We start from the raw sequence: 26932 nt of genomic DNA on the forward strand, positions 1-26932 counted from the left end.
ATGTAAAGAGCTTAGGGCCATGCTTAGTAGCACACAGCACAAGTTTAGTCATTATTACTTACTGTTATCATGTTTATCAATTAAAATGTGATCCTTTTTATATGAGTTTATAAAAGTATTCTGTATTTCTATGCTGTTTTATAATAGCCAGTGTCTCAGCCCAAAGTACATTTTCAGCTTCTAAGTTTTATAAATTCTGAGTTATTTCCCTACTGCTGCTTTTCATCTGGATGACAAGAAGGAAAGGAAGGAAAGGCACTTACCTTTATTGAGTGCCTATGATATGAAAGGCACTGGACTGTGTGTTTTCCTTAGTTTATCTCATTTGAAAAACTTACAGCTCTTTGAAGCAGATGGTGTTTATGTTTTATATATATATATATATATATATAGAGAGAGAGAGAGAGAGAGAGAGAGAGAGAGAGAGAGAGAGAAACTGAAGTTTAAAGAGGTTATTTCCCTTGTTCCAGTAGACATAGCTAATGAAGTGGTAAAACTAGGTTCAGCTGATATTCCAATTTAAAGTCAGGATTTATTTTATTTATTTATTTAATTTTTAAATTTTTTTTGAGATGGGGTTTTGATCCTGTCGGCCAGGCTAGAGTGCAGTGGCACGATCCTGGCTCACTGCAACCTCCGCCTCCTGGGTTCGAGTGATTTCTCCTGTCCCAGCCTCCCAAGTAGCTGGGACTACATGTGCGCACCACCACACCCGGCTAATTTTTGTATTTTTAGTAGAGACGGGGTTTCACCATGTTGGCCAGGTTGGTCTCAAACTCCTGACCTCAGGTAATCTGTCCGCCTTGGCCTCCCAGAGTGCTGGGATTACAGGCGTGAGCCATTGTGCCTACCTAAAGTCAGGATTTATTTTATAGTAAGTCAGATAAAGTGATGTGTTTATATCATTGCTTGAGAATTTTAATAAACTATGCTTTTATATTAGTGTCTCTTAATCAGTTACAACATTGATATTTATATAATTAGCAATCATTTATTATATTAATATAATTAATATATATTAATTATATTAATATAATTAATTATATTAATATAATTAATTATATTTATATATTATATTAATATATTAATTATATTTATATATTATATTAATATATATTAATTATATTTATATATTATATTAATATATATTAATTATATTAATATATAAATTATATATTATATATTACATATATTATATATAAATATAAAATATATGTAATATATTATATATTATATATTTATATATAATATATTAATATAATATAGTTAATGTAACATACTAATTATAATATTTATAATATAATTGATAATTATATTAATTAAGATAACTTCCTAGATTAAAAAGTAGCTGTGGGTGTAACTAAAATGTGTGGATGGTAACCTCACATTATTTTTCAAGTGTATGTTTTCTTTGACGGTGGTTTCATTTATTTTTTCTTTAAGCTGCTAGTCTATGGGGTCCTTACAAAGACATTTGGCATAAAGTGGGAAATGCTCTTTGGAGAAGACAACCTGAAGCTGTTCACCTTCTTGATAAGATTTTGAAGAAACACAAACCTGACTTCATCTCATTGTTCAAAAATCCGGTAAGAAATTTTCTTTTTCAGTTTTTTTGGGATTTTTTTTTTTTTAAGATCGAGGAAGGAAGTAAACTCTTTTCTTTTTTTTTTAATTTTCAAATTTTTTTCAGAAATTTATTTACTGTGCCACAGTCTCATGAGGTCCTGATGACATGTACCCCTAAACGCTTAAAAAAAAAAAAAAAGACAGGGTCTAACTTTGTAGCCCAGGCTTGTCTTGGACTTCTGGCCTCAGTGATCCTCCTGCCTCAGCTTCCCAAAGTGCTGGGATTACAGACGTGAGCCACCATGCCAGCTGCAAAAACTATCTTAAAAACTTTTTTTAATTTTTAATTTTTGTGAGCACATAAAGGATGTATATATTTATGAGGTACGTGAGATGTTTTGATACAGGCATGCAGTGTGAAATAATCACATCATGGAGAATGGGGAGTCATTCATCCCCTCAAGCATTTATCCATTGTTTTCCAAACAATCCATTTACACTCTTAGTTATTTTAAAATGTATAATTATTATTGGCTATCACCCTGTCGTGCTATCAAATAGTAGGTCCTTGCAAGTAAACTCTTAATGTACGTAACAAAAACATGTCACCTGTCTCACTCCAGTGATTCAATGATTTTCTTTTCTAGATATTTTTTAAAGACAGGGTGTTGCTCTGTCCTCCAGACTGGAGTGAAGTGGCCTGATTATAGCTCACTATAGCCTCAAACTCCTGGTTCAAGCGTTCTTCCTGGCTCTTCACTCCTAAGTAGCTGGGACTACAGGTGTGTGCCACCGTGCCCAGCTAATTTTTTTTAGAGATAGGGTCTTGCTATGTTGCCCAGGCTGGTCTTGAACTCCTGGCCTCAGGTGATCTTCCTGCCTTGGTCTCAAAAAGTGTTGGGATTATAGACGTGAGCCACTGTGCCCTGCTGTGATTTTAATGGAATTTTTCTTAGGAGCAATGTTATTCTCTATAGAAGTTAATATTATGTTTATTTCTAGCTAGGAGATAAACTTAATAATATTTGAAGACTATTTAAGAAATTTAGTATATTCCAGAAATATTAACTGCCTTAGAATTTCTGACCTCTAGTTAGTAATACATCTATGCTTGGTAAGATTGATTATTTTGTTTATTTCCAGATGTACGTTAAAATTTTAAGTATTATTTTATAGTAGTTTATAGTATTATGTAAGTTGTGTTAATGGAATGAATTAATTCTTGAGTATTTTTAATTTCTGCATCTTGAAATTCTTTGCAATAGCAATAGGGTACTTTAGTGGAGGGGATTCAAACTTGGAAAATGCTTTTCTTGTTGTTTGGCACTTTTCCTTTGCGTGTATGTGTTTGTGTGTCAGAGTCTCACTCTGTCGTCCAGTCTGGAGTGCAGCGGTGCGATCTTGGCTCACTGCAACCTCCCTCCCGTGTTCAAGCAATCCTCCTTCCTCAGCCTCCAGAGTAGCTGGATTACAGGCGCCTGCCACCATGTCCAGCTAATTTTTTTGTATTAGAGACGTGGTTTCACCACGTTCGCCAGGCTGGTCTTGAACTCCTGGCCTCAAGTGATCTGCCTGTTTCAGCCTCTCAAAGTGCTAGGATTATAGGCATGACCCACCACGCCCAGTCTGGCACTTTTCTTTTATATACAGCAAGGAAGCCATCCAAGAACTATTTATAGGATTGTGTTACCAGAAATGGCTTTTTGCTTTTTAGCTTTTTTTTTTTTTTCTTTTTTTTTCTTTTTTTTTGCTTTCTTTAGTAGAAAGAACCCCAGCCTGGGAACCAGTTGAGCTGATTTCCAGTCTTGGCTGTACCACTAGAGAGTTTTATGACCACAGACAAGTTACCTGACTTAGCTGGATGTCGGTTTTTCTGTCTGCAATAGAGGAGCTAGATTCAATGACCAATGTGTAACCTTTAAGTTCCGAAACTTTAGATGTATGATCTATCAGCTAATTCTGTACTGTACGTCATATGTTAAATATTTGCACCAAATTATCTTTTAGGAAATAAGACTACATTTTATATAACATTAATAAACTGTTACTTGCTCTGCTAAGTAATTAAACAGTTCATATATCCATTTGTTATGTACCATTTGAAGACCTTATTATTTTTATTTATTATGTAATTGAAAAGTTCTGTAGAAACTTGAAAAATAGTATGCTATTTTGTATATTTTCTCCAAATTTTTCAGATCAGAGTTTAGCAGTCACAGTTATTGAGAAGGTAGTATTGGAATAAAAAGTTTAAGGTTATGCAAAATATTACTTCATAAAAGTCTGTTCTAAATTAGCTGATAAGAAATACTTCTGTTTGTCATGTTACCAGGCTGAATTATCATGAATAAGCTTCTGTAGGTAACACTTTGGGACCTTGTCTCCAGTGTGCTATTTTCATAACAATTACAATTTTATCATTGTAGCCAAAAAATGTTCAACAGCATGAGAAGGTTCAGAAAGCCAGTACAGAGGGAGTCGCCATTCAGGGTCAACAGGGAACTCGACTTCTTCCTGAACAGCTCATTAAAGAAGCCTTTATTCTCAGTGACCTTTTTGATATTGGAGAATTGGCAGCTGTTGAGCTTCTTCTTGCTGGTAGGTTGACATTTAACTGAAACAGTGGTAAAATAATGCAAAATTATAAAATCACTCATAGTTTAAAATAGTTTATTGTTTAGATTCTATCATAGTTTCTAAGGCTGCAGTTTGGTAAAACCATATTCAAAATATTTCCTTTTTTAATCTTTGTTGTTTTTTTTTGAGACAGAGTCTCGCTCTGTTGCCCAGGCTGGAGTGCAGTGGCATGATATCGGCTCACTGCAACCTCCACTTACCGGGTTCAAGTGATTCTCATGTCTCAGCCTCCCGAGTAGTTGAGATTACAGGCATGTGCCACCATGCCCGGCTATCCTTTCTTAACCTTTGATTGGAAGGAAGGCTTCAGTTTAGTGATCAGAATTGTTAAAGACATCTCAGAAATTTTATAGCACAAAGCACTTACTGTCAGTGAGTAGGCAGGTAAGGTCACCACTTTTTTGGAATTTCTTTTTGAGAGAGTAATTCAGATAATGCATGAGTAGGTAAAAAATAAGATGATTTCAATAATACAGAGTACTAGGAAGAAAATAAAATAAAGCAGTGAGATATAGAGAGGTGGAGGCTGGCTAGTGCAACTCTAAGTAGGATCCGTAGAGAAGGCCTCTCTAAGATGGTGTCATTTGCCTTGAGACCCAAATGATGAGAAGGTGCCAGCCACCCAGACCTATTGGGTAAGGCTTTTCCGGGGAGAGCAAGCAGCCAGTGCTTGAGGTGGGAATAAAGGCGTGTTTAAGGATAAAAAGATCATTGTGGCTAGAGCATCATAAATGAGAGGGAGAGCAAAGGAAGATGCAGATACAGCAGGAATCAGAGCATGTTTGATTTTGCATGATAATGAAAGGTATTTGGATTTTATTCTAATTGCAATAGAAAGTTGTTGATGAGGGCTTTAAGCAGAGACATTACATAATTCATTCTAACTCTGAAATTATTTCTCTGGCTGCTGTGTAGAGAAAAGAGAGAAAAATTTCTATACTATAAGCAGTTTGTTTTAATTATAATGGAGGAGCCATTTGAAGAAAATATGGGCATGTTAGTTGAACAAAAGTTTAATATGTCTAAAGATAATATATGGCTACCAAAATCCTTTTTGACCTAAGCCTGCACTAAAAGAAGTATGATATTGAGAATGAGGGGGATGTTCACTAGACATGCTTGAGTTTTGAGTTTAACTCGGAACTTTCATTTAACAAACATTTCTTCTATACCTACCATGTGCCAGGCATGGTGTTAATTATATCACTCCAGTGATATAAAGATGAATAAAATCTCAACTAGTGTAAATACGCTCATATTCTAATAATTGAGAATGATGTGGAAACAAATATTTTGACACAATTAAGTACAATTAATGCAGTTTTGTGCAAGATTTAGAGATGGTCCAGAGATTTAGAGATGGTATTAGATGGACCTTGATTGTACAGAGAACTCTTAACAACATCATGAAGTTTAAGGTAGATGTTGCAAAATGAGTAAGCATACATCAGGTGGAATAGGTGGTTATTTGGGAGGATGAAGGGCATCCAGGCAGAAGAAATTGCCTGTGCAAGAGGGTGAAGCAAGGTGATGAATTTGGGGAACAGAAAGGAGTAGAGTGGAGGAGTAGTTGCAGTAAGGGGAAAAGAAAGCTTTAGGAAATGAAACTGAAACTATAGGCAAAGTACTCTTAAAAAAAAAGTGAAACTTAGCCAGGCGTGGTGGCTCACACCTGTAATCCCACCACTTTGGGAGGCCAAGGCAGGTGGATCACGAGGTCAGGAGTTCAAGACCAGCGTGGTCAACATGGTGAAATGCCATCGCTACTAAAAATACAAAAATTAGCTGGGTGCTATGGCAAGTGCCTGTAATCCTAACTACTCAGGAGGCTAAGGCAGGAGAATTGCTTGAACCTAGGCGGCAGAGGTTGCAGTGAGATCACGCCACTGCACTCCAGCCTAGGTGACAGAGTGAGACTCCATCTCAAAAAAAAAGGTAGAACTCATTCAAAGGAGAGTAGTTAAAAGGTGACTGAACTTGAATTATAAAAAGGTTGTTTATTCAGAGAAGATTCCGAGGGAAGAAACTTAGAAATATTTGAAAGATTCCATATGAGATAGTAAAATGGGCATTGAATAAAATTAAATTTAGTGGACAACAGTGAGACCAAAAGATTCTCACCCAGTATGTAGAAATCACAGGTAAGTGTGAGAGTTAGAAATTGAGAGTTTGGAAAATGGTGAATTCCATGTCCCTGCTGGTGTTTAGGGATAAGTTGGATGGCCCTCGAATATGTTGAGCAAGAAGTTAGACAGTGGATGGATGTTTGTAGTAGAGGACCCCAGGGCCCCTTAAGCCCTGAGCTACTGTGATTCTTTGAACTGAACATTGTTATATTGATTTTTGTCTCCTCCTAAACACATACGTGTTTATTAACAATATTATTTCTCAACTTCCTTTTTTAGGAGAGCATCAACAGCCACATTTTCCTGGCCTTACCAGAGGATTAGTAGCTGTTCTTCTGTACTGGGATGGAAAGCGATGCATTGCGAATTCCTTGAAAGCCTTGATACAGTCTAGACGGGGAAAGACATGGACCCTAGAACTCAGGTCTTTTTACTTCTTGGGATTTCAGGGGTTAATTTGAAATTACTTGAAGTATGACAATATTTCCCTTATTATATACAATCTGAGCAATATGTAACATAAGCTGAGTAATATACTCCCTTATTCTGCCAAGACAGATATAACAATTTAAACCTGTTTTATTGTGTTTATAAATAAAAAATAATTTGGACCGAGGTGCAGTGGCCCAAATTATTTTTGGATTACAAAGTGCTGGGATTACAGATTACAGTCTTGAGCTCAGGAGTTTTAGATCAGCCTGGGCAACATGATGAAATCCCATCTCTACAAAAAATAGAATAATTAACTGGGCATGATGGCATGCACCTGCAGTCCCAGCTACCTGGGAGGCTGAGGTGGGAGAAAGACCTGAGCCTGGGACGTCAAGGCTGCAGTGAGCCATGATCACGCCACTGCACTCCAGCCTGGGTGACAGAGCAAGGCCCTGTCTCAAAAAAAGAGCGTTTGCTATACCTATTATTATGAAGAAGCATAAACAATATTGTTTAACGTAGTTTATTGATTTCTTTTCATTACAGTCCAGAGCTGGCTTCCATGACAACACGCTTTACAGATGAGCTGATGGAGCAAGGATTGACTTATAAAGTTCTTACGCTGGTGTCACAGATTGATGTGAATAATGAGTTTGAGAAACTACAGCGAGAGAGAGGTTTGGGCAGTGAAAAACATCGCAAAGAGGCAAGGGTTCAATGAAATCAATTCATGAGTTGTCTGTCAAATCTCAGAGGCAGAAACATGACAATTAGAATGTTCATTTTTTCAAGATGAATTATGTAGCTGATACCATGCCTGATTGCCACTTTTCTTTTTTTTTGCTTTTATTATTTTTCATTGACACAAAACTGTACATATGTATAGGGTACAGTGTGGTATTTTGATACATATGTATGATATGTAATAAATCATAATTAGCATATCCATCACCTCAAACGTTTATTATTTCTTTGTGTTGGGAACATTCAAAATTCACTGTACTACTGTTTGACAGTACAGTATACAATAAATTGTTAATTGTAGTCAGCTCGTAATGTATATTAAAGTTTGTAGTCAGCTGTGTCCATAAAATTGACTTGCAGTTGTTTCAGCTTCGGTATAGTCATTTATGTGCCATTCTAGCTCTTTTTATGAAATGAACAAGAAATTGGTCATCCCAATTTCTTAAGGAACTTAAGGATAAGGAATAAACAATAGGGTTTGTTCAGAATTCCAGAGGTGACGTCTTAGGATCACTTGTGGATTTTGATAGGTTTTTTTATTAGCCTTTGTAAAAGGTAGTTTGTACTTTGGAATAAGACCAGGCTTCACTGTAATTTATTTATACTGATAGTCATGTTTTTATTTCTAGGTTTCTGATCTCATTAAGGAGTGCAGGCAGTCTCTTGCAGAAAGCCTTTTTGCCTGGGCTTGCCAGTCACCTTTAGGCAAAGAAGACACTCTCCTCCTCATTGGACATTTGGAAAGAGTGACAGTTGAGGCTAATGGCTCACTGGATGCAGTGAATCTGGCTCTTCTTATGGCGCTTCTATACTGTTTTGATATCAGTTTTATAGAGCAAAGCACAGAGGAACGAGATGGTATTGAGTTTTATACATTTTCCTACATTAAAAAAATCAGATTTAAAATTGTGGGGATAACATTTAAAAAGGGTGATATTTTAGCTACTAAAATAGTCTGCTCTGTTCCTGTGTTTGCAGTCCGTTCATATTTGAATATTTATATATAAGATCACATTTAAAAAACAGCTGCAGTCCTGTTAATTATTTCTGTTTTTTGGGGGGATTTGGAATGGAAAGTATTAAAGCATATATTATACATGTTCATGATTGCACATGCCTAATTTACTTAATTGCTTGTTTCTTTACCATTCATTTACATTTTCAAACTTTTTATTAAAACATTCTGAGACAGTGACTGTCATTTCAGTAATGTAATCTTTGATCTGTGTTTTCTGTGAAGTAAATAAAATTTTTGTGATCTTTAGATAGCATGATTTCTATTTTAGAATTTATGTGCAGAAAAAATGAGTGTCTAACTTTTTTCTTGTTTATTTGTAGTACACTTATAAAAATGACTGAAAATAGTGAAATTGAAATTTAGGATTATTGTCATTTTCTTTTTTTGTTTTTAGTATGTGTACAATCAACAGTAGTGTACCTTTTGGGATGTAGAAATTAATGTTAATTGGTCATTATTCTTCTGTGAGAATGCTCAGATTTTCTGACTTTTGGATATTATTCCTGTGTATCAGAAGTGAGAATTTATCTGGTGATCGGTAAAGTGGTCTATTTTTGTGTTTTCAGATATGATTCATCAACTTCCACTGTTGACAGAAAAACAGTACATTGCAACAATTCACTCTCGTCTTCAGGACTCACAGCTTTGGAAACTGCCTGGGCTCCAAGCCACTGTTAGACTTGCCTGGGCGCTGGCATTGAGGGGAATATCCCAGCTACCTGATGTGACAGGTGAATTGATTGTAGGTAATTTTGTTATGAGAAACAGCATGTTAGCACTTAATGACATTTTTGGAAGGAGTATTATCTTTGACATACATAAGCATAAGCATAGGAAGATATCCAGAGTTGTATTAAATGAAACCTTTAGTGTAGTAGTGAAATACAGACTTTTTTCTCCTTGTCTCTCAAAAATATCATATGAAATACTATTTCCCATTCTTGGAGCCACTGACAATGCTCTTTTACCTTCAGGGTATGAGTTTAAAATTTGGAATGACAGTGTCACATTAATTTTTTTTTTTTTTGAGATGGAGTTTTGCTCTTGTTGCCCAGGCTGGAGTGCAATGGCACAGTCTCGGCTCACTGCAACCTCTGCCCCCCGGGTTCAAGCGATTCTCCTGCCTCAGCCTCCCAAGTAGCTGGGATTACAGGCATGCGCCACCACACCTGGCTAATTGTGTATTTTTAGTAGAAATGGGGTTTCTCCATGTTGGTCAGGCTGGTCTTGAACTCCCGACCTCAGGTGATCCGACTGCCTTGGCCTCCCAAAGTGCTGGGATTGCAACACGTGAGCCACCCCGTCCGGCCTTAAATGTTTTTTAAAATTAAAATATACTATTCCTTTTATTTTTATATATTTTACTTCTTGATTTGTTCACAAACTAGTTTTTCACATTGTGTCAAATTAAAAACAGTTATTTTTCCATACAGTGTATTAAAAAGGAGATATTTGGATCAGTCAAGAACAGATGTGGAATCCCGACTTTTCTTTTTTGTGGCCCAGGCTGGAGTGCAGTGGCTCGATCCCGGCTCACTGCAACCTCCACCTACTGGGTTCAAGTGATTCTCCTGCCTCAGCTTCTTAAGTAATTGGACTACAGGCACACGCCACCACACCCGGCTAATCTTTTGTATTTTTAGTAGAAACAGGGTTTCACCATGTTGGCTGGGCTGGTCTCGAACTCCTGAGCTCAGGTGATCCACTTGCTTTGGCCTCCCAGAGTGTTGGGTTTACAGGTGTGAGCCACCGCGCCTGACCAGAATACTGACTTTTAACAACCTGTTAACTCACTGTAGCATATATTATTCTGCTATTTACATTTACATTATTTAATTGTCATATTAGTAGGGGTTTATTCTAACAGAATGAGAACCATACATGGAACACGAAGCCCAAAGAATTGTCTTTTTATGGTAAATCTAGAAAGGCTTTATTCAAGTTTACAATTTATGTCAGTTTTCTAATCCTAAAGTATCAACAGATTCTAGTATCTTATCAATCGTGTAATTCCAGAACATTTTGTTTTCACTAGTGTCATGCTGTTCCCAAGGTGTTTGCAGAAAGCTTTTTTTGTGTTAGGAGTCTTTCTTTGGCCAGTTAATTTCTATCTGTCTGTCATCTATATATCTAAATGCTGATAGCGAATTAGACTTTTACATTCCCGTACAAATTCTGTTTCTCACCTGTACGTACCCTCATCATTTATAAGTCTTATTTCACTACTTTTCTGACATAAAGTTACCCTTTAACCTTTGAAGTGGCTATGTGATAGTTAATATCTTCTTTTTTTATTTTGGAGATGGAGTCTCGTTCTGTTGCCCAGACTGGAATGCAGTGGCATGATCTCAGGTCACTGCAACCTCTGCCTCCTGGGTTCAAGCAATTCTGCCTCAGCCTCCGGAGTACCTGGGACTATAGTCGCACGCCGCCACACCCAGCTAAGTTTTTGTATTTTAGTAGAGACAGGGTTTCACCGGGTTGCCTAGGCTGGTCTCGAACTCCGGAGCTCAGGCAATCTGCCTGCCTTGGCCTCCCAAAGTGCTGGGATTACAGGCGCGAGCCACCATGCCCAGGTGTGATAGTTAATATATTAACTATATAATATAGTTATACATAGATAGTTATTATAATATTATGTAATATGGTCACAATCTTATGCTATAATTGCCCATACCACTGCACTAGTTTTGAAAGGTTTAATAGAATATGCTATAGTTTGCTGTAGAATAATAGTAAAAATAGGTTAGGAATCACAGCCCTAGTTTCAAGTCCCAGATCTTTGGCTACTTAATCTCTTTGATTTTATATGCTCATATCCTTTTATAAGCTTTAATAGTTAGGGGTATTATAATTAGAATTTTTAAACTATAAAAATTTTTCTGTTAATTTGCATTTTAAAAATTGTTAGAAAAAATGACTAGCTTGTGTTATTTTGCAGAAATGGTCACTTCTTGAAATAATCCAGACAAGTTTTAACGAAGATCTCCAATTTGAAAAATTGGTTTCTGTTCTCTTCATAGACTTCTGAAACTTTTATCAAATGTTTTTATTATATTATTCTATAAAAGGCATGAAGCCAGGTGCAGTGCCTCATGCCTATAATCCCAGCATTTTGGGAGGCCAAGGTGGGAGGATTGCTTGAGCCCAGGAGTTCATGACAAACCTGGGCAATGTAGTGATACCTCATCTCTTCAAAAAATTAAAAATTAGCCCAGTGTGGTGACATGCCCTTGGCTGTAGTCCCAGCTACGCAGGAGGCTGAGGCAGGAGGATCACTTGAGCCCAGGAGAGAGGCTGTAGTGAGCTGAAATTGCTCCACTGCACTCCAGCCTGGGTGACAGAGTGAGATCACATCTCAAAAAAAATTAAAAAAACAAGCATCGGCCGGGTGTGGTGACTCACGCCTGTAATCCCAGCACTTTGGGAGGATGAGGCAGGTGGATCGCTTGAGGTCAGGAGTTCAAGACCAGACTGGCGAACGTGGTAAAAGCCCATCTCCACTAAAAACACAAAAAATTAGCCAAGCATGGTGGCGCGTGCCTGTAATCCCAGCTGCTTGGGAGACTGAGGCAGGAGAATTGCTTGAACCTAGTGGGCAGAGGTTGCAGTGAGCTGAGATCATGCCACTGCACTTTAGCCTGGGTGACAGAGTGAAACTCTGTTTCCAAAAAAAAAAAATCAACAAAAAAACCAAGCATTTTTGTAATTTCACTAAGCTTTACAGAATTTTAGCATACTGTTTTTAGGCATTGAAACTCAATTTATATTAAGACAATGATGCCTTATTGCCTAAATGGTCTTCAAGAAGTAATTTTTGGCTGGGCATAGTGGCTCATGCCTGTAATGTCAGTGCTTTGGGAGGCTGAGGTAGTCAGATCACTTGATGTCAGGAGTTCAAGACCAGCCTGGCCAACAGGGCGAAACCTTGACTCTGCTAAAAATACAAAAATTAACTGGGTGTGGTGGCACATGCTTGTCATCCTACCTTCTCAGGAGGCTGAGGCTGGAGGATGGCTGAAACTGGGAGGCAGAAGTTGCAGTGAGTCAAGATCGCACCACTGCACTCCAGCCTGGGCAGCAGAGTAAGACTCTGTTTCAAAAAAAATAAAAGACGTAATCTTTGAGTTGATTCTCTTTTAATTCTGGTGTTTTTGAATTCAAGTAAAGGTTTGAAATAATTTGTTACTGTTACTGAAAATATTTAATAATTAGTAATTTTAGTAATTGTTATTACTAGTCATACCAAAGAATTAAGACAATATTTTATTCTCAAGGATTTTGTATAATATGGGTAGATAAGCACGTTTTTGTTTGTTTGAGATAGTGGCTTCCCTGTTGCCCAGGCTGGAGTGCAGTGGTGTGACCATGGCTCAGTGGCCTCAACCTCCAGGGCTCACATGATCCTTCCACTTCAGCCTCCCAAGTAGGTGGGACCACAGCTAATTCTTTGATTTTTTTGTAGAGATGAGGTCTCACTATGTTGCCTAGGCTGGTCTTGAACTCCTGGGCTCAAGCAATCCTCCTGTCTTGGCTAAGTGTTGGGATTACAGGCATGAGCCACCACACCTGGCTGATAATGCAGACTTTATTTCAAAATACGAAACAAAACATTAAAAAAACAGGCCAGGCATGGCGACTCATGCCTGTAATCCCAACACTTGGGGAGGCCGAGGCGGGTGGATCATGAGGTCAAGAGATCAAGACCATCCTGGCCAACATGGTGAGACCCCATCTCTACTAAAAATACAAAAAATTAGCCAGGCGTGGTGGTGCGTGCCTATAGTCCCAGCTACTTGGGAGGCGGAGACAGGAGAATCTCTTGAACCTGGGAGGCGGAGGTTGCAGTGAGTTGAGATCGTGCCACTGCACTCCAGTCTCGGCGACAGAGCGAGACTCCATCTCGAAATAAATAATAAATAAATAATAAAAATGAAATACTACAAATCATATGTTTTCCTCTGTTTGAGACTATCTTGGCTTTTATCTGTTCCTGGCCCTTTTCAAGGCAATGAAAATGTACTTACGGTAACAGACTATGTATTTGGTTTGTATGACAGTCAAACAGAATAAGCTGTGTAGTAGTCTTTTTCAAAGCCAGATTGCCACACAATTACCTAGTAATTTTATATTCAAAATTTAAGAGCAGTAATCAGCAATATGTTTCTTGATGGAAAGATACACCATAACCTATGACATACTCTTAATAGAAAGTTGAATGTAAGTCAGATTAAGTTACTCTAGATCAAGCCACTGCACCCAGCTGAGGAATTAGTTTTAAAGATGTGATAATGGCCAGGCGCAGTGACTCACGCCTGTAATCCCAGCACTTTGGGAGGCCGAGATGGGAGGATCACTTGAGGTCAGTAGTTCAAGACCAGCCTGGCCAACATGTTGAAACCCTGTCTCTACTAAAAATACAAAAATTAGCCAGGTGTGTTGGCGCACACCTATAATCCCAGCTACTTGGGTGGCTGAGGCCTGAGAATTGCTTGAACTGGGAGGGAGAGGTTGCAGTGAGCTGAGATTGTACCACTGCACTCCAGTCTGGGTGACAGAGCGAGACCCTGTCTCAAAAAATAAAATAAAATAAAGATACGATAATGGTGTTGTGTGTGAGTATGTAGTGAATTTTTACTTTTGCTTTCTTTCTTTCTTTCTTTTTTTTTTTTTTTTGAGACGGAGTTTTGCTCGTTTTCCAGGCTGGCGTGCAATGGCGTGATCGTGGCTTACCGCAACCTCCGCCTTCTGGGTTCAAGCGATTCTCCTGCCTCAGCCTCCCCAGTAGCTGGGATTACAGGCATGCGCTACCACACCCGGCTAATTTTTTGTATTTTTAGTAGAGATGAGGTTTCTCCATACTCCCGACCTCAGGTGATCCTCCCAAAGTGCTGGGATTACAGGCATGAGCCACCCTGCCCGGCCTTGTTTCTTAAGTATATTTTTGAGTTGTACACTGCAAATACTTACTGGTAAAATGTTAAATTGGAATTTGCTTTAATGAGATATGTATGAGTGGAGAGGGGGAAGATATAGATGAGGTAAGATTGTCCATAAGTTGGTAGTATTGAAACAGGTGATGGGTATGTAGAGGTTTATTATACTTATTTTTAGATATATATTGGATATTTTCCAAATAAAATATAAAAAAATTACAGTTAGACAAGTTTATATTCAAGTTAAAATTTAGTTTTTAAATTTTAGCTACTTGGTTACCAAATTAGCACAGTTACTTACCTATTCATGTTCAGGTTTTGGTCTTGGATTGAAGACTTTTCAGATGACCCATGAGATTTCATTGGGATTAAAGTCTTAACATCATTTTAATATGTGAATGTTTGGATGATAGCTCCCTGACTACATCAGTGTTGCATCACACATCTCTAAAATAATTTTCATTAGTTATGTTATTATTTCAAAGAGTATGTATTTTTCTAATACACATTCAGAGTATATTGTTATTTGGGGTTTGTGAGTTCTTTAGGGTTTATGAGTCAATTACAGTTATATATAGTCTCATTTTGTGCATAGCACATGCTAGAAGGCTGGGAAGATGTCTGAACCATCAGCAGAGTATTATGAGATATAATTACAATCTGGGTTAATGACTTTTCCTCCATGTACTGTGTTTTAAAATCTGTTTCTAGCTCTGGCAGAATTCACAGAGGCAGATGAAGCAATGGCAGAACTCGCAATTGCTGACAACGTTTTCCTGTTCCTCATGGAATCTGTAGTGGTATCAGAATACTTTTATCAGGAAGAATTTTATATTCGCAGAGTCCATAATCTCATCACAGATTTCCTTGCACTTATGCCAATGAAGGTAAGTGTAATAATGTAGGATGAGTAAATAGTAGAAGAATTTTATAAAATAATTTAAAACTGATTAACCAGCTTTATGTTTTGGAAACTAATAAAAATTTTTAATACAGACTAAAATTTGCCAGTAGCTGTATTACATCTTGTGAATCAGTTTGTGACTCATGAAATAAGTCATGAGTCTCTACAAGATATGAGAACATACCTTGTAGAATTTCAGTTGTATTAAATTTGTTGAGGTTTGTTTTATGGCTCAGAATATGGCCTGTCTTGGTAAATGTTCTATGTACACCTGAAGGGAAGACATATTTTGCTGTTGTTCTATGGAAATAAGTCCTCTTAACTGGGGATAAGTCAGTAGAAAGAAATATTTGACATAGTGAATGGTTTATAAATGAGAAAGTAATTAAATGAAAATGCTTCTGTGGGTAGAAAATTACTAACCTCATGCTGCCCTAAGGATTAGTGCTAAGGTTGCTTTATTTAATATTTTTATACATGATTTGGAAGAGGCACAGTGGAAAAATTGCATTTTATAGATAATTGTTTAGATTTTTTTTTTTTTTGAGATGGAGTCTTGCTCTATTGCGCCCAGGCTGGAGTGCAGTGGTGTGATCTTGGCTCACTGCAATCTCCGCCTCCTGGGTAAGTGATTCTCCTGCCACAGTCTCCCAAGTAGCTGGGATTACAGGCGCCCGCCACCACACCTGGGTAGTTTTTTGTATTTTTATTAGAATGGGGTTTCACCATATTGGCCAGGCTGGTCTTGAACAGGTGATCTGCCCACCTCGGCCTCCCAAAATGCTGGGATTGCAGGTGTGAACCACCATGCCTGGCCCGATTGTTTAGATTCTGAATTGCAGTGTATAAAAGGGCTTCAGCATGGATACAGGTAAAATAATGAATTTAAGAAACCGTAACACAAAGGCTGCTTTTGAATAGATAGCTTGAGCTGTAACTGTCATCTGAAAAGCGATTCTTAGAGCTATTTCAAACAGTTCCTTATAGTATATGCTCTGTGTGCTGTTTTGTGCCAAAGAAGCCATCAAATGTTGGCGGGAAGTAAATGAGGGAGAAAAACGTCTTTTTTTGTGTTTATATTATAAAACCACCTATTTCAAATGTACAGTTTTTAAAAGCACCCTGAAAGGTCTACACTTGTAATATATTGTGCAGTTTTGGTACCATACCTCCTGAAAAGTATAAATTGATTATCATAAATTTGCCCTTAGGATTCTTGTATTATTTTTATTTTTATAGGATCTATAGTGATTTTTCTCTTTAATTCCTAAAATTGGTAATTTGTGTCTTCTCCCCCAGTTCTTAGTTAACCTTGCTTGAAGTTTATTGATCTTATTGATCTTTCCAGTGAATTAGCTTTTAGCTTCATTGATTTTCTTATATTTTGCTTCACCATTGTTGATTTTTGCTATTATGTTTATTATTTTCTTCCCTCTGCCTTGGGTTTAATTTGCTCCCTTAATTTTGTTTTTTAAGATATAAGCTTAGATTATTGATTTTAAATATTTCTTTTTTCTAATATGAGCATTTAATAATGCTATACATTTACCTCCAATCACTGCTTTAGCTATGCCACACAAATTTTGATATGTTGCATTTTCTTTTTTGTTCAGTTTAATATGTTTTCTAATTTTCCTTGAGACTTCTTTGATTGATGGGTTATTTAGCAGTGTGTTGTTTAATTTCCAGGTAGTTCACAGACTTTCAGATCTCTGTCACAGGTTTCTAGTTTAATTCCGTTGTGCTCAGAGAACACGCCTTGTAGAATTTCAGTTGTATTAAATTTGTTGAGGTTTGTTTTATGGCTCAGAATATGGCCTATCTTGGTAAATATTTTATGTACACCTGAAAGGAACACATATTTTGCTGCTGTTCTGTGGAATGTTCTACAAGTGTCAATTAAGTCAAGTTGGTTGATGCTGTTTTTCAAGTTTTCCATATCCTTACTGATTTTCTGTGTACTTGTTCCATTGAATATTGAGAGAGGAGTGTTGATATTTCCAACTGTAATTGTGGATTTGTCTAGCTATGTTTTTTTTTTTTTTAACAGAATTTGTTTCTTATTTTTGTTGGCATTTAGTTCACACAAATGTTGTGAAGCAGTGATTCTCAACTGAGGTATAATGTTCTTCAGAGTGTGTTTGGGAAATGAGTGGGGCCAGTTTTGCTTGTTATGATGACTCTGGTGTTGTTATTGATAGTTGGTAGGTAGTTCCAAGGATGCTAAATGTCCTGGAATATTCAGGATAATCCAACCCAGTGAAGAAACATTGTGCCCAAATGTCAGTAATGTCCCCACTGAGAAATACTACAGTTAAGTTCAACTTTTCTATAGTGGAAAATGCATTCAAGTTTTAAGATATTATACATTATGGGTAGTAATATTGCAAATAAGATTCCTGGCATGTTTCTTCATGTCACCTAAAGTGGAATAGATATTTAAAAAATATATTCTTGTATGTAGTCACTTTAAGACAGTTGCCTGATTTCATTATTATTAGCATGTACAATACATTTACATATTAAAACTATATCTAATAAATTTAATAGGTGAAACAGCTGAGGAATCGGGCAGATGAAGATGCTCGAATGATTCACATGAGTATGCAGATGGGTAATGAACCCCCCATTTCACTTAGAAGGGACCTGGAACACTTAATGCTTTTGGTAAGCCATTATATTAGAAAGCTTGTCCTCTTTCCCTCCTTTCATTATTTTTTCCCCTAACTTTGGAAAATTTCAGGTGTAATACTTTAAATGTCCTTTTTTTTATTGAAAGTAATTTTTCAGTCATAGACATTTCCCTACAGTCTTTGCTTACTCTTTGCAGATTGGCGAGCTATATAAAAAGAACCCTTTTCATCTGGAGCTTGCTCTAGAATATTGGTGTCCCACAGAGCCTCTTCAGACTCCGACTATCATGGGCTCTTATCTAGGGGTGGCTCATCAGCGGCCCCCTCAACGCCAGGTGAGTCTTTAGGTTTTCCTCTTTTATACTCTGGTACTGTGATAGAGAGTCTTGAAAACATGAAAGATATTACTTCCTGATTTTATTGCTGTTAACACAAATGATCACTAGTGTAACCTTTAGAGACTTACACTTTTTAAATTTTATTTATTTATTTATTTATGTTGAGACAAAGTCTCACTCTGTCACCTAGGCTGGAGTGCAGTGACGCGATCTCAGCTCACTGTAGCTTTGACCTCCCAGGTGGAAGTGATCCTCCCGCCTCAGCCCCCAGGGTAGTCGGGACTACAGGCATACACCACCACACCCGGCTAGTTTTTGTATTTTTTGTAGAGATGGGGTTTTGCCATGATACCCAGGCTGGTCTGTAACTCCTGAGCTCAAGTGTCCATCTGCCTCGGCCCTCCCAACGTGCTGGATTTACAGGCATGAGCTACTGTGCCTAGCCTACTTTTCTCTTTTATAAAAGAAAATTTGAAACTCTTAAAATTTAAGTTCTGTTGATTTTGAAGTTAATGTAGTCAATCCTTTATTGGATACTAGATATGTGTTGAATTATTAGAGGCAGAAAGGCATCCAGTCTCTTTATTATTTACTTATTTTTAAAAGACAGGGCCTTGCTATGATGACCAGGCTGGTCTGTAATTCCTGGCTTCATTCAGCCTTCCCAAAGCAGTGGGATTACAGGCATGAGCACTGTGCCCCACTTGAATTTTATTAGTATTTTAGTTCTCCATAGGCATGACAATCTTTTCAAGTTTGGGAGGATAGGAGAGGTACAAGTATTAAAGGAGAATTCTTAGACGTTTTAATTGATGGCAAAATGCCTATGAGTCTGTAGATAATACAGGCAAAAATTCTTTCTGTATTAACTAAAGTATGATGTGCAGAGGCAAATAAAATGAATTGCTATGCAGTAGTTCACACCTGTAATCCCAGTGCTTTGGGAAGCTGAGGTGGGAAGATCGCTTGAAGCCAAAATTTGAGACCAGCCTGGGCAATGTAATGAGACCCCATCGCTACAAAAAATACTAGCTCGGTGTGCTATCATGAGCCTGTAGTCCTAGCTGCTCAGGCTGAGGCAAGAGGACACGTTGAGCCCCGGGGTTTGAGGTTACAGTGAGATGTGGTTACGCCACTGCACTCCAGCCTAGGCAACAGAGTGAGACCCTGACTCTTTAAAAAAAAAAAAAGAGTTGGCAGGAGATTGCCATGTTCATTTTGGGGGATTTCTGTTCTAGAAGCTTTTATGCAATGTGTGTGTGTGTGTTTTTTTTTTTCTGGACTCCAGATCAGATGCCTTTTTTTTTGAGATGGAGTTTCGCTCTTGTTGCCCAGGCTGGAGTGCAATGGCGCAATCTCAGCTCACCCCAACCTCCTCTGCCTCCCAGATTCAAGCGATTCTCCTGTCTCAGCCTCCCGAATAACTGGGGTTATAGACATGCGCCACCACGCCAGGCTAATTTTGTATTTTTAGTAGAGATGGGGTTTCTCCATGTTGGTCAGGCTGGTCTCGAACTCCCGACCTCAGGTGATCCACTCGCCTCAGCCTCCCAAAGTGCTGGGATTGTAGGCATGAGCCACTGTACCTGGCCCAGATGCCACTTTTTAAACTGTATTGTTTCAGTGTTTTTCTCATTTAAAAAATACGTTTTGAGCCAGGCACGGTGCTTCACACCTGTAATACTTGCACTTTGGGAGGCCAAGGTAGGCAGATTACTTGTGCTCAGGAGTTTTAGACTAGTCTGAGCAACATGGTGAACCCTGTCTCTACAAAAAATATTTTAAAAATTAGCCAGACATGGTGGTGCGTACCTATGGCCCCATTTGCACGGGAGGCTGAGGTGGGAGGATCATTTGGGCTGCAGTGAGCTGTGATTGTGCTACTACATTCCAGCCTGGGTGACAGAGTAAGACCCTGTCTCAAAAGAAAAAGAATGTTTTGGAGAAAGATTTCCTTAAAAATTTTTAAAGTTTTTAAGAAAGCTAGCAGTAATGAAAAATTTGAAACATGTGGAAGAGGGAATTATTATAAGGAATGCCCCACATTTTAATTTCACATCTTAAGTTAACATCTTATGATGTTTGCTTCATCTACTATATTATTATTTTATTTATTTATTTATTTATTTATTTTGAGACAGAGTCCCACTTTGTCACCCAAGTTGGAGTGCAATGGCCTGATCTCGGCTCACTGCAACCTCCGCCTCCTGGGTTTAAGTGATTCTACCGCCTCAGCCTCCCAAGGAGCTGGGATTACAGGCACCCGCCATCATGCCCAGCTAACTTTTGTATTGTTTTAGTTGAGACGGGTTTTCACCATGTTGGTCAGGCTGGTCTCGAACTCCTGACCTCAGGTGATCCACCCACCTTGGCCTCCCAAAGTGCTGCGATTACAGGCGTGAGCCACTGTGCCCAGCCTGCTATATTATTTTTACTTTCGTTTTATTTTAAAGTAAATTATAGGCAAATACATGAATTCTATCCCTTAATATTTAAGTAAGTATATCTCTCTTAAAAATGTTATTTTGCTACATCATCATAAAACCTTTTTTTTTTTTTGGAGACGGAGTCTCTGTTGCCAGGCTAGAGTGCAGTGGCGCAATCTTGGCTCACTGCAACCTCTGCCTCCTGGGTTCAATTGATTCTCCTGCCTCAGCCTTTCGAGTAGTTGGGACTACAGGTGTGTGCCACCACACCCAGCTAATTTTTGTATTTTTAGTAGAGACGGGGTTTCACCATGTTGGCCAGGATAGTCTTGATCTCTTGACCTCGTGATCTGCCCGCCTTGGCCTCCCAAAGTGCTGGGATTACAGGTGTGAACCACTGCGCCCAGCCAAACCATTTTTAAACCTAGCTGATTTAATAGTTATTTCCAGACATCTGTAGTGTTTTCAGTTCTCAGTTCCAACTAGTGAGTTTGAGTAATACTGTTAGTTGTTGATAATAGGTTTAAGGCATAAGGAAGAAAAAGGGAAAATTAAGAAATAGACTTAAAGAACAGGAGTATGGGAACGTGGCATTGGTTTGACCACAGAACAGAATATGCTTAAGTTACCATCAAAAATGATTTAAATTTCCTAGGTCTAGATACTAATTTGGCTGGGATATAGGAACTCTGGATTTTAAGTGTACTTTTGAATTGCTGGTTGATTTTTGGATGAGTAAATGTCACATGTCTTATATTTTTAAAATCTGAGTGGTCTTATATTTTGTGACATTGAGATATTTTTTTAAAAATGTACTTTTATTTCATAAAGGTATTTTATAATTGCATTAAATTGCTAATGACAAGCTTAAACAATTTTTCATAAATAGAATATCAGTTAAATTTGTCTGTTGCGAGGGTTAAGTCAGAGCACTACTTTTAGTTTATATGTAGTCTTTATTAGCTAGTCCGTGTTGCCTTAAAGTTAAGATATACATTATATAAACCATTTGTTTCTCTCTTTTTCAGGTTGTCTTGTCAAAGTTTGTTAGGCAAATGGGTGACCTGTTGCCTCCAACTATTTATATTCCTTATTTGAAGATGCTCCAGGGATTGGCCAATGGGCCTCAGTGTGCCCACTACTGTTTCAGCCTGCTCAAAGTCAATGGTAGTAGTCATGGTAAGGAATATGTGGATGTTGTTAAAGTTTGTTGTTATACTCTTTTAAGTTCAGTATCCCACTACCTATTAAGAACATTGGTGTTTGAACTAGGTTCTACCAGAGGTATAAATTATTTTCATAACAATAGGGTGAAGGAAGCATGCATACAGCTTTATGCATAGTGATGCTGTGATTATGGTCTCACAGATTGGGGAGTTTTGTCATTCTCCTTTATAAAATACAGTTCATTTTGACAAATCAGAATTAATGTATGAAAATTTTCCAGAACACATCTGGTCCACAAAAAAAGCATATGCCCTTGCCTTATAAGTTTGATTAATTTATCTTCGTATTTTTTTTTCTTAATTTCAGTACTTAGAATTTTTCTCTTGACTGTCTCCCAGTTTTCTTATTTAATTTTCAGACTGGTTTGGTTAGACCAAAAACACTGTAAAAGGGAAAAGAAATTAAGCATCTGCTTTGTTAGGTAGATATTTTTATTTTTACATGTGAAGAAACTGAGGTTTAGAGAAGTTAAGGAATTTACCCAACATCACAGCTATTTGGAGAGCCATGATGGGAGCTGAAATCGGCTTGGCTCCAAAGCCAGTGTTCTGACTACTCTGTCAAGCCTGCCAGTCTTGTGTGCTATGCTTTTGCTTCCGATGCTTGGTATGCAATGGAGTAGTGTAATTCCCAAATTAAGACTGTAGTTATCTCTTTCTTTGGGAATTCAAACTCAACATTTGTGAATTATTCTGTGGGAAAAAGCAGCCCTGTACAGTTACATGAGAGCACAGAGAACTCTCCTGGATGTGAAGTAGGTAACCGACATCCAAAGTAAATTACCTTTACATTTACATGGGCAGTAGCCCCTTTCTTGAGTAAAAGTTAATCCAGAGGAAAAATTAATCCAGAGTTCTAGCTCACAGAGGGATTCTAACCCATTTTCAGCACACCGCTTATGCAGGACAGAGATTGCCTTTGTGCTAAGACAAAGGCAAACAAAGTTTGTTGTTTTAGGCTGGGTGCAGTGGCTCATGCCTGTAATCCCAGCACTTTGGGAGGCCGAGGCAGGCGGATCACTTGAGGTCAGGAGTTCAAGAGCAGCCTGGCCAACATGGTGAAACCCTGTCTTTACCAAAAAGACAAAAATTAGCAAGGCGTTGTGGTGCACGCCTGTAATCTCAGCTACTTGGGAGGTTGAGACAGGAGAATTGCTTGAACCTGGGGAGTAGAGGTTGCAGTGAGCTGAGATTGCCCCTCTGCACTCCAGCCTGGGTGACAGTGAGACTCTATCTCAAAAAAGAAAAAAGTATATTGTTTTAAATTAATTTTCTCTCCATTTCCCAGCAAATGCTTAGATGTTTTTTAAATAAAATTCTGTGCTGTTTTTCTTTATAGTTGAAAATATTCAGGGAGCAGGTGGCAGTCCTGTTTCCTGGGAACATTTCTTTCACTCCTTGATGCTTTACCACGAACACCTTCGGAAGGATCTTCCAAGTGCAGATAGTGTCCAGTACCGTCACCTTCCTTCCCGTGGCATCACCCAGAAGGAGCAAGATGGATTGATTGCTTTTTTGCAGCTCACGTCTACCATCATTACTTGGGTAGGTAACTCATCCCCAGCATAATTTTATTTTTATTATAGCACAGTAGCATTTTAAGAGCCCCAAACATTTTCTTTTAATTTAAGAGTAATAAACTTAGCCTATCTAGATAGACAGATATATAGCATTCTGCCCTTAAGTTTTTTGTTTTTTGACCTCTACAGGGTGTAAGTTATGGTAGCCCTGCTCATTGGCATAATCTTAGTATAAAAATAATAGCCTGAGCCTGAAAGAAAATAGTCAGAAGGGCAAATAAGAACCAGTTGTTGGATGCATATGCTTCTAGGTTTCCAGCATAAGTGTAGAGATATATATGTGCATTTATATGTGTGTATGCATAAAGAATATTGTAATTAAAAGTCATTTACTGTATTATTTTTTCTCTCCTTATACCAAACCATTTTATCTGCCACTACCAAATTGGTCTTTGTAAAAAACATTTTCATGACTGTATATAATTTCCCAACTCAGAAATATCTTTTAGTTATGTCTGTTGTTCACTAGAATAGTCTGACATTTTCTCTGAAGGGTAGGAATAGGAACTTCTAAGTTTTTGGCTTTTCTAATAGTACTTAACATTATTAGGCATCAAAATGTCAGTTATTAACTATTTCTCACTGAATTAAAATGGAAATGGGAGGGGAGGATAGGGAAAGGTTGGTTAACATACAAAGTTACAGATAGAGAAGAAGAAAGTTCTAGTGTTCTATAGCACTACAGGGTGAATATAACTAGCAGTAATTCATTGTGTATGTTCAAAAGCCAGAAGAGAGGATTTTGAATGTTCCCAACACAAAGAAATGAGAAATGTTAGAGGATGGATATCCTAATTACCCTGATTTGATCATTACATATTGTATACATATATCAAAATATGACTCTGTACCCTATAAATATGTATAGTTATTACATATCAACTAAAAATGAAAAAAATGTTGTGATACTTGATACTGTATATCTCTATATTTTTTTTTGAGAAAAGGACAAGGTATTTTTTTCATCCATACTTTATATTGCAGTATAATATATTGTTCCAGAAAGGATTTAAGATGCCTAGGTAAGATTTATCCAACCCTTGCGGACCATTTATCTCTGTTTGTATTATTTCTCATACTTGGAACTGCAAAAGTAATTCTACAAAGTCTATATCTCCTCCAGTTTTTTACTTCGAATAAATGAGTGATCTGATTTGATGTGTTGGTAGACTTCAAACATAAATGATAGGCTTATTTTTGTTTTAGTATATATTAAGCCCATGAGGACTCAGTATAAATGATAGCAATTTAGATGATTGCTGGTCATTTTAATAACTTTTAAAAATGGAAAGTCTCATTCTTTTTGTGTCAATTCTTAGAGTGAAAATGCTCGCTTGGCACTCTGTGAACACCCTCAGTGGACCCCTGTTGTGGTGATTCTGGGACTCCTCCAATGCAGTATTCCCCCTGTCCTAAAAGCTGAGCTACTGAAGACACTCGCAGCTTTTGGAAAATCTCCTGAAATTGCTGCTTCCCTCTGGCAGTCATTGGAATACACTCAGGTAGGGCTCTGAAGTCCCTTATTTATATTATCCCAATGTGGAAAGTTGGGCTTGATAATACCATAGAAGCAAGAACATGCAATTGGAACTTATAGTATATCATGAACATCCCAACTAGAGTTACGGTTTAGGGACTGAGCATAGCAATAGAAACTAATAGGCTTGGGTTTTTCTTTTAGATTGGTTGATAACATCACTAGGTTACCAGAGATTGGTTCTTCATGTACTGTACCTCTCTGAAGACCTTATTTTTCGATGTCTATTAAGATATTACTAGATGGACAGAATTTGTCCACTCTGTCTTTAAACCAGGCTGCTGTAAGCCCTCACAAATCACCTGCACTCATTAAATGTGGGGAATGTTTGTTTTTCTTATCTGCTCTTTCCTGCCCTATACCAGAAGAGTGAAGTATCTCTGTATAGCTACATGGTCACTGGGGTTGTTTTTCCATTAAAGGGCAGGTCTAACTGTTTGTCAAGTTTGCACTGATTTTTGTTTTTTTTTTTTAAGATAGGGTCTCGCTGTGTTGGCAAGGATGGAGTGAGTACAGTTGTGTGATCTCAGCTCACTGTAGCCTCCACCTCCCGGGTTAAAGCGATTCTTGTGCCTCAGCCTCCTGAGTAGCTGGGATTACAGGCTTGCATTACCACGCCCAGCTAATTTTTGTATTTTTAATAGAGATGGGGTTTTGCCATGTTGTCCAGGCTGGTCTTGAACTCCTGGCTTCAAGTGATCTGCCCGCCTCGGCCTCCCAAAGTGCTGGGATGACAGGTGTGAGCCACCACACCCAGCCTGCAGAGAAATTTTAACAGCATCTAGAATACTTTTTATTGGTGGTTATGAGGGTTTATTGCCAGGACCATAAACTTAACTTTGGGCAGAATGGGAATGTGACAGTTGGATTTTTTGACTTCTGTACCCTGAGGGAATGTACCTTTGCTGATGTGGGGAAATAAATGGATGATATAATGTTTGAAGTCTCAATAACTTCAAAATATTAGCATTCTTTTCTCTAGAGATAAGCTCCATTAAAAATTTTCTATCAGGTATAATTATTTTATATGTGATAAAATGAAGGAAAATATGGATGCGCTTTATAGACGTATCTCTAGGAAAATGGTTAGGTGGGATATGTATATCTGTCTTGGAAGTAATACAACTTAAGGGAGTCTGGGATTCTAACTCATTATTCATAGAAGCAAAAAAAATTTTTTTTTTTTTAAGATGAAGTTTTGCTCTTGTTGCCCAGGCTGGAGTGCAATGGGGTGATCTCGGCTCACTGCAACCTCCACCTCCTGGGTTCAAGCGATTCTCCTGCCTCAGCCTCCCAAGTAGCTGGGATTACAGGCATGTGCCACCACGCCCAGCTAATTTTGTATTTTTAGTAGAGACGGGGTTTCTCCATGTTGGTCAGGCTGGTCTTGAACTTCTCCCCTCAGGTGATCCGCCTGCCTTGGCCTCCCAAAGTACTGGGATTACAGGCGTGAGCCACCACGCCCAGCCAGAAGCAACCATTTTGAAGCAGTAAAATACTCTAGATTATTTTCTGACATACATATCCTGAAGATGTTATTGATACTTTGTTAACATAATAATTAACAGAGTTGGGGTTTGCTGAGAGGGGTTGGCTTACTATGGATACTTCACCTTTTGATTCCTGAGCGTACCAATACTTGCTAGTGTCTTACGGGCTTAGTGCTTCTTTACACCTGAAATCAAATGTGATTGGGTTTAGCCATTTGTATCCTTAGAGCAACAGTATTGTTTTTAAAGGATTCTACCTAATTAGTATACTTTTGATTTGCAAGAAAGTAAAGTATCATGACAGTAGGATTATTTATTATACCATAGACTACTTAGGCC

The 26932-nt window shown here is 37.9% G+C and overlaps 1 protein-coding gene across 2 annotated transcripts in view; it reads left to right on the forward strand.

Annotated features, from left to right (window-relative positions):
• Positions 1-26932, forward strand: part of NUP205 (nucleoporin 205) — a 90837-nt gene that overhangs the window by 11745 nt on the left and 52160 nt on the right. Inside the window, exons 2-13 of one of the 2 annotated variants that reach the window (NM_001329434.2) lie at positions 1444-1586; positions 3993-4164; positions 6609-6753; positions 7308-7467; positions 8135-8363; positions 9090-9265; positions 15171-15346; positions 17914-18030; positions 18194-18331; positions 21789-21939; positions 23326-23531; positions 24886-25068. In NM_001329434.2, coding sequence (NP_001316363.2) covers positions 15203-15346; positions 17914-18030; positions 18194-18331; positions 21789-21939; positions 23326-23531; positions 24886-25068 — 939 coding nt within the window. In that variant the 5' untranslated portion in view covers positions 1444-1586; positions 3993-4164; positions 6609-6753; ... (2 more) ...; positions 9090-9265; positions 15171-15202. The remainder of the gene's footprint in view (positions 1-1443; positions 1587-3992; positions 4165-6608; positions 6754-7307; positions 7468-8134; positions 8364-9089; positions 9266-15170; positions 15347-17913; positions 18031-18193; positions 18332-21788; positions 21940-23325; positions 23532-24885; positions 25069-26932) is intronic. The other variant, NM_015135.3, reaches the window with a different exon arrangement.

The sequence above is a fragment of the Homo sapiens genome, chromosome 7 (genome assembly GCF_000001405.40).
Source record: "Homo sapiens chromosome 7, GRCh38.p14 Primary Assembly".
Lineage (NCBI taxonomy): Eukaryota > Metazoa > Chordata > Mammalia > Primates > Hominidae > Homo > Homo sapiens.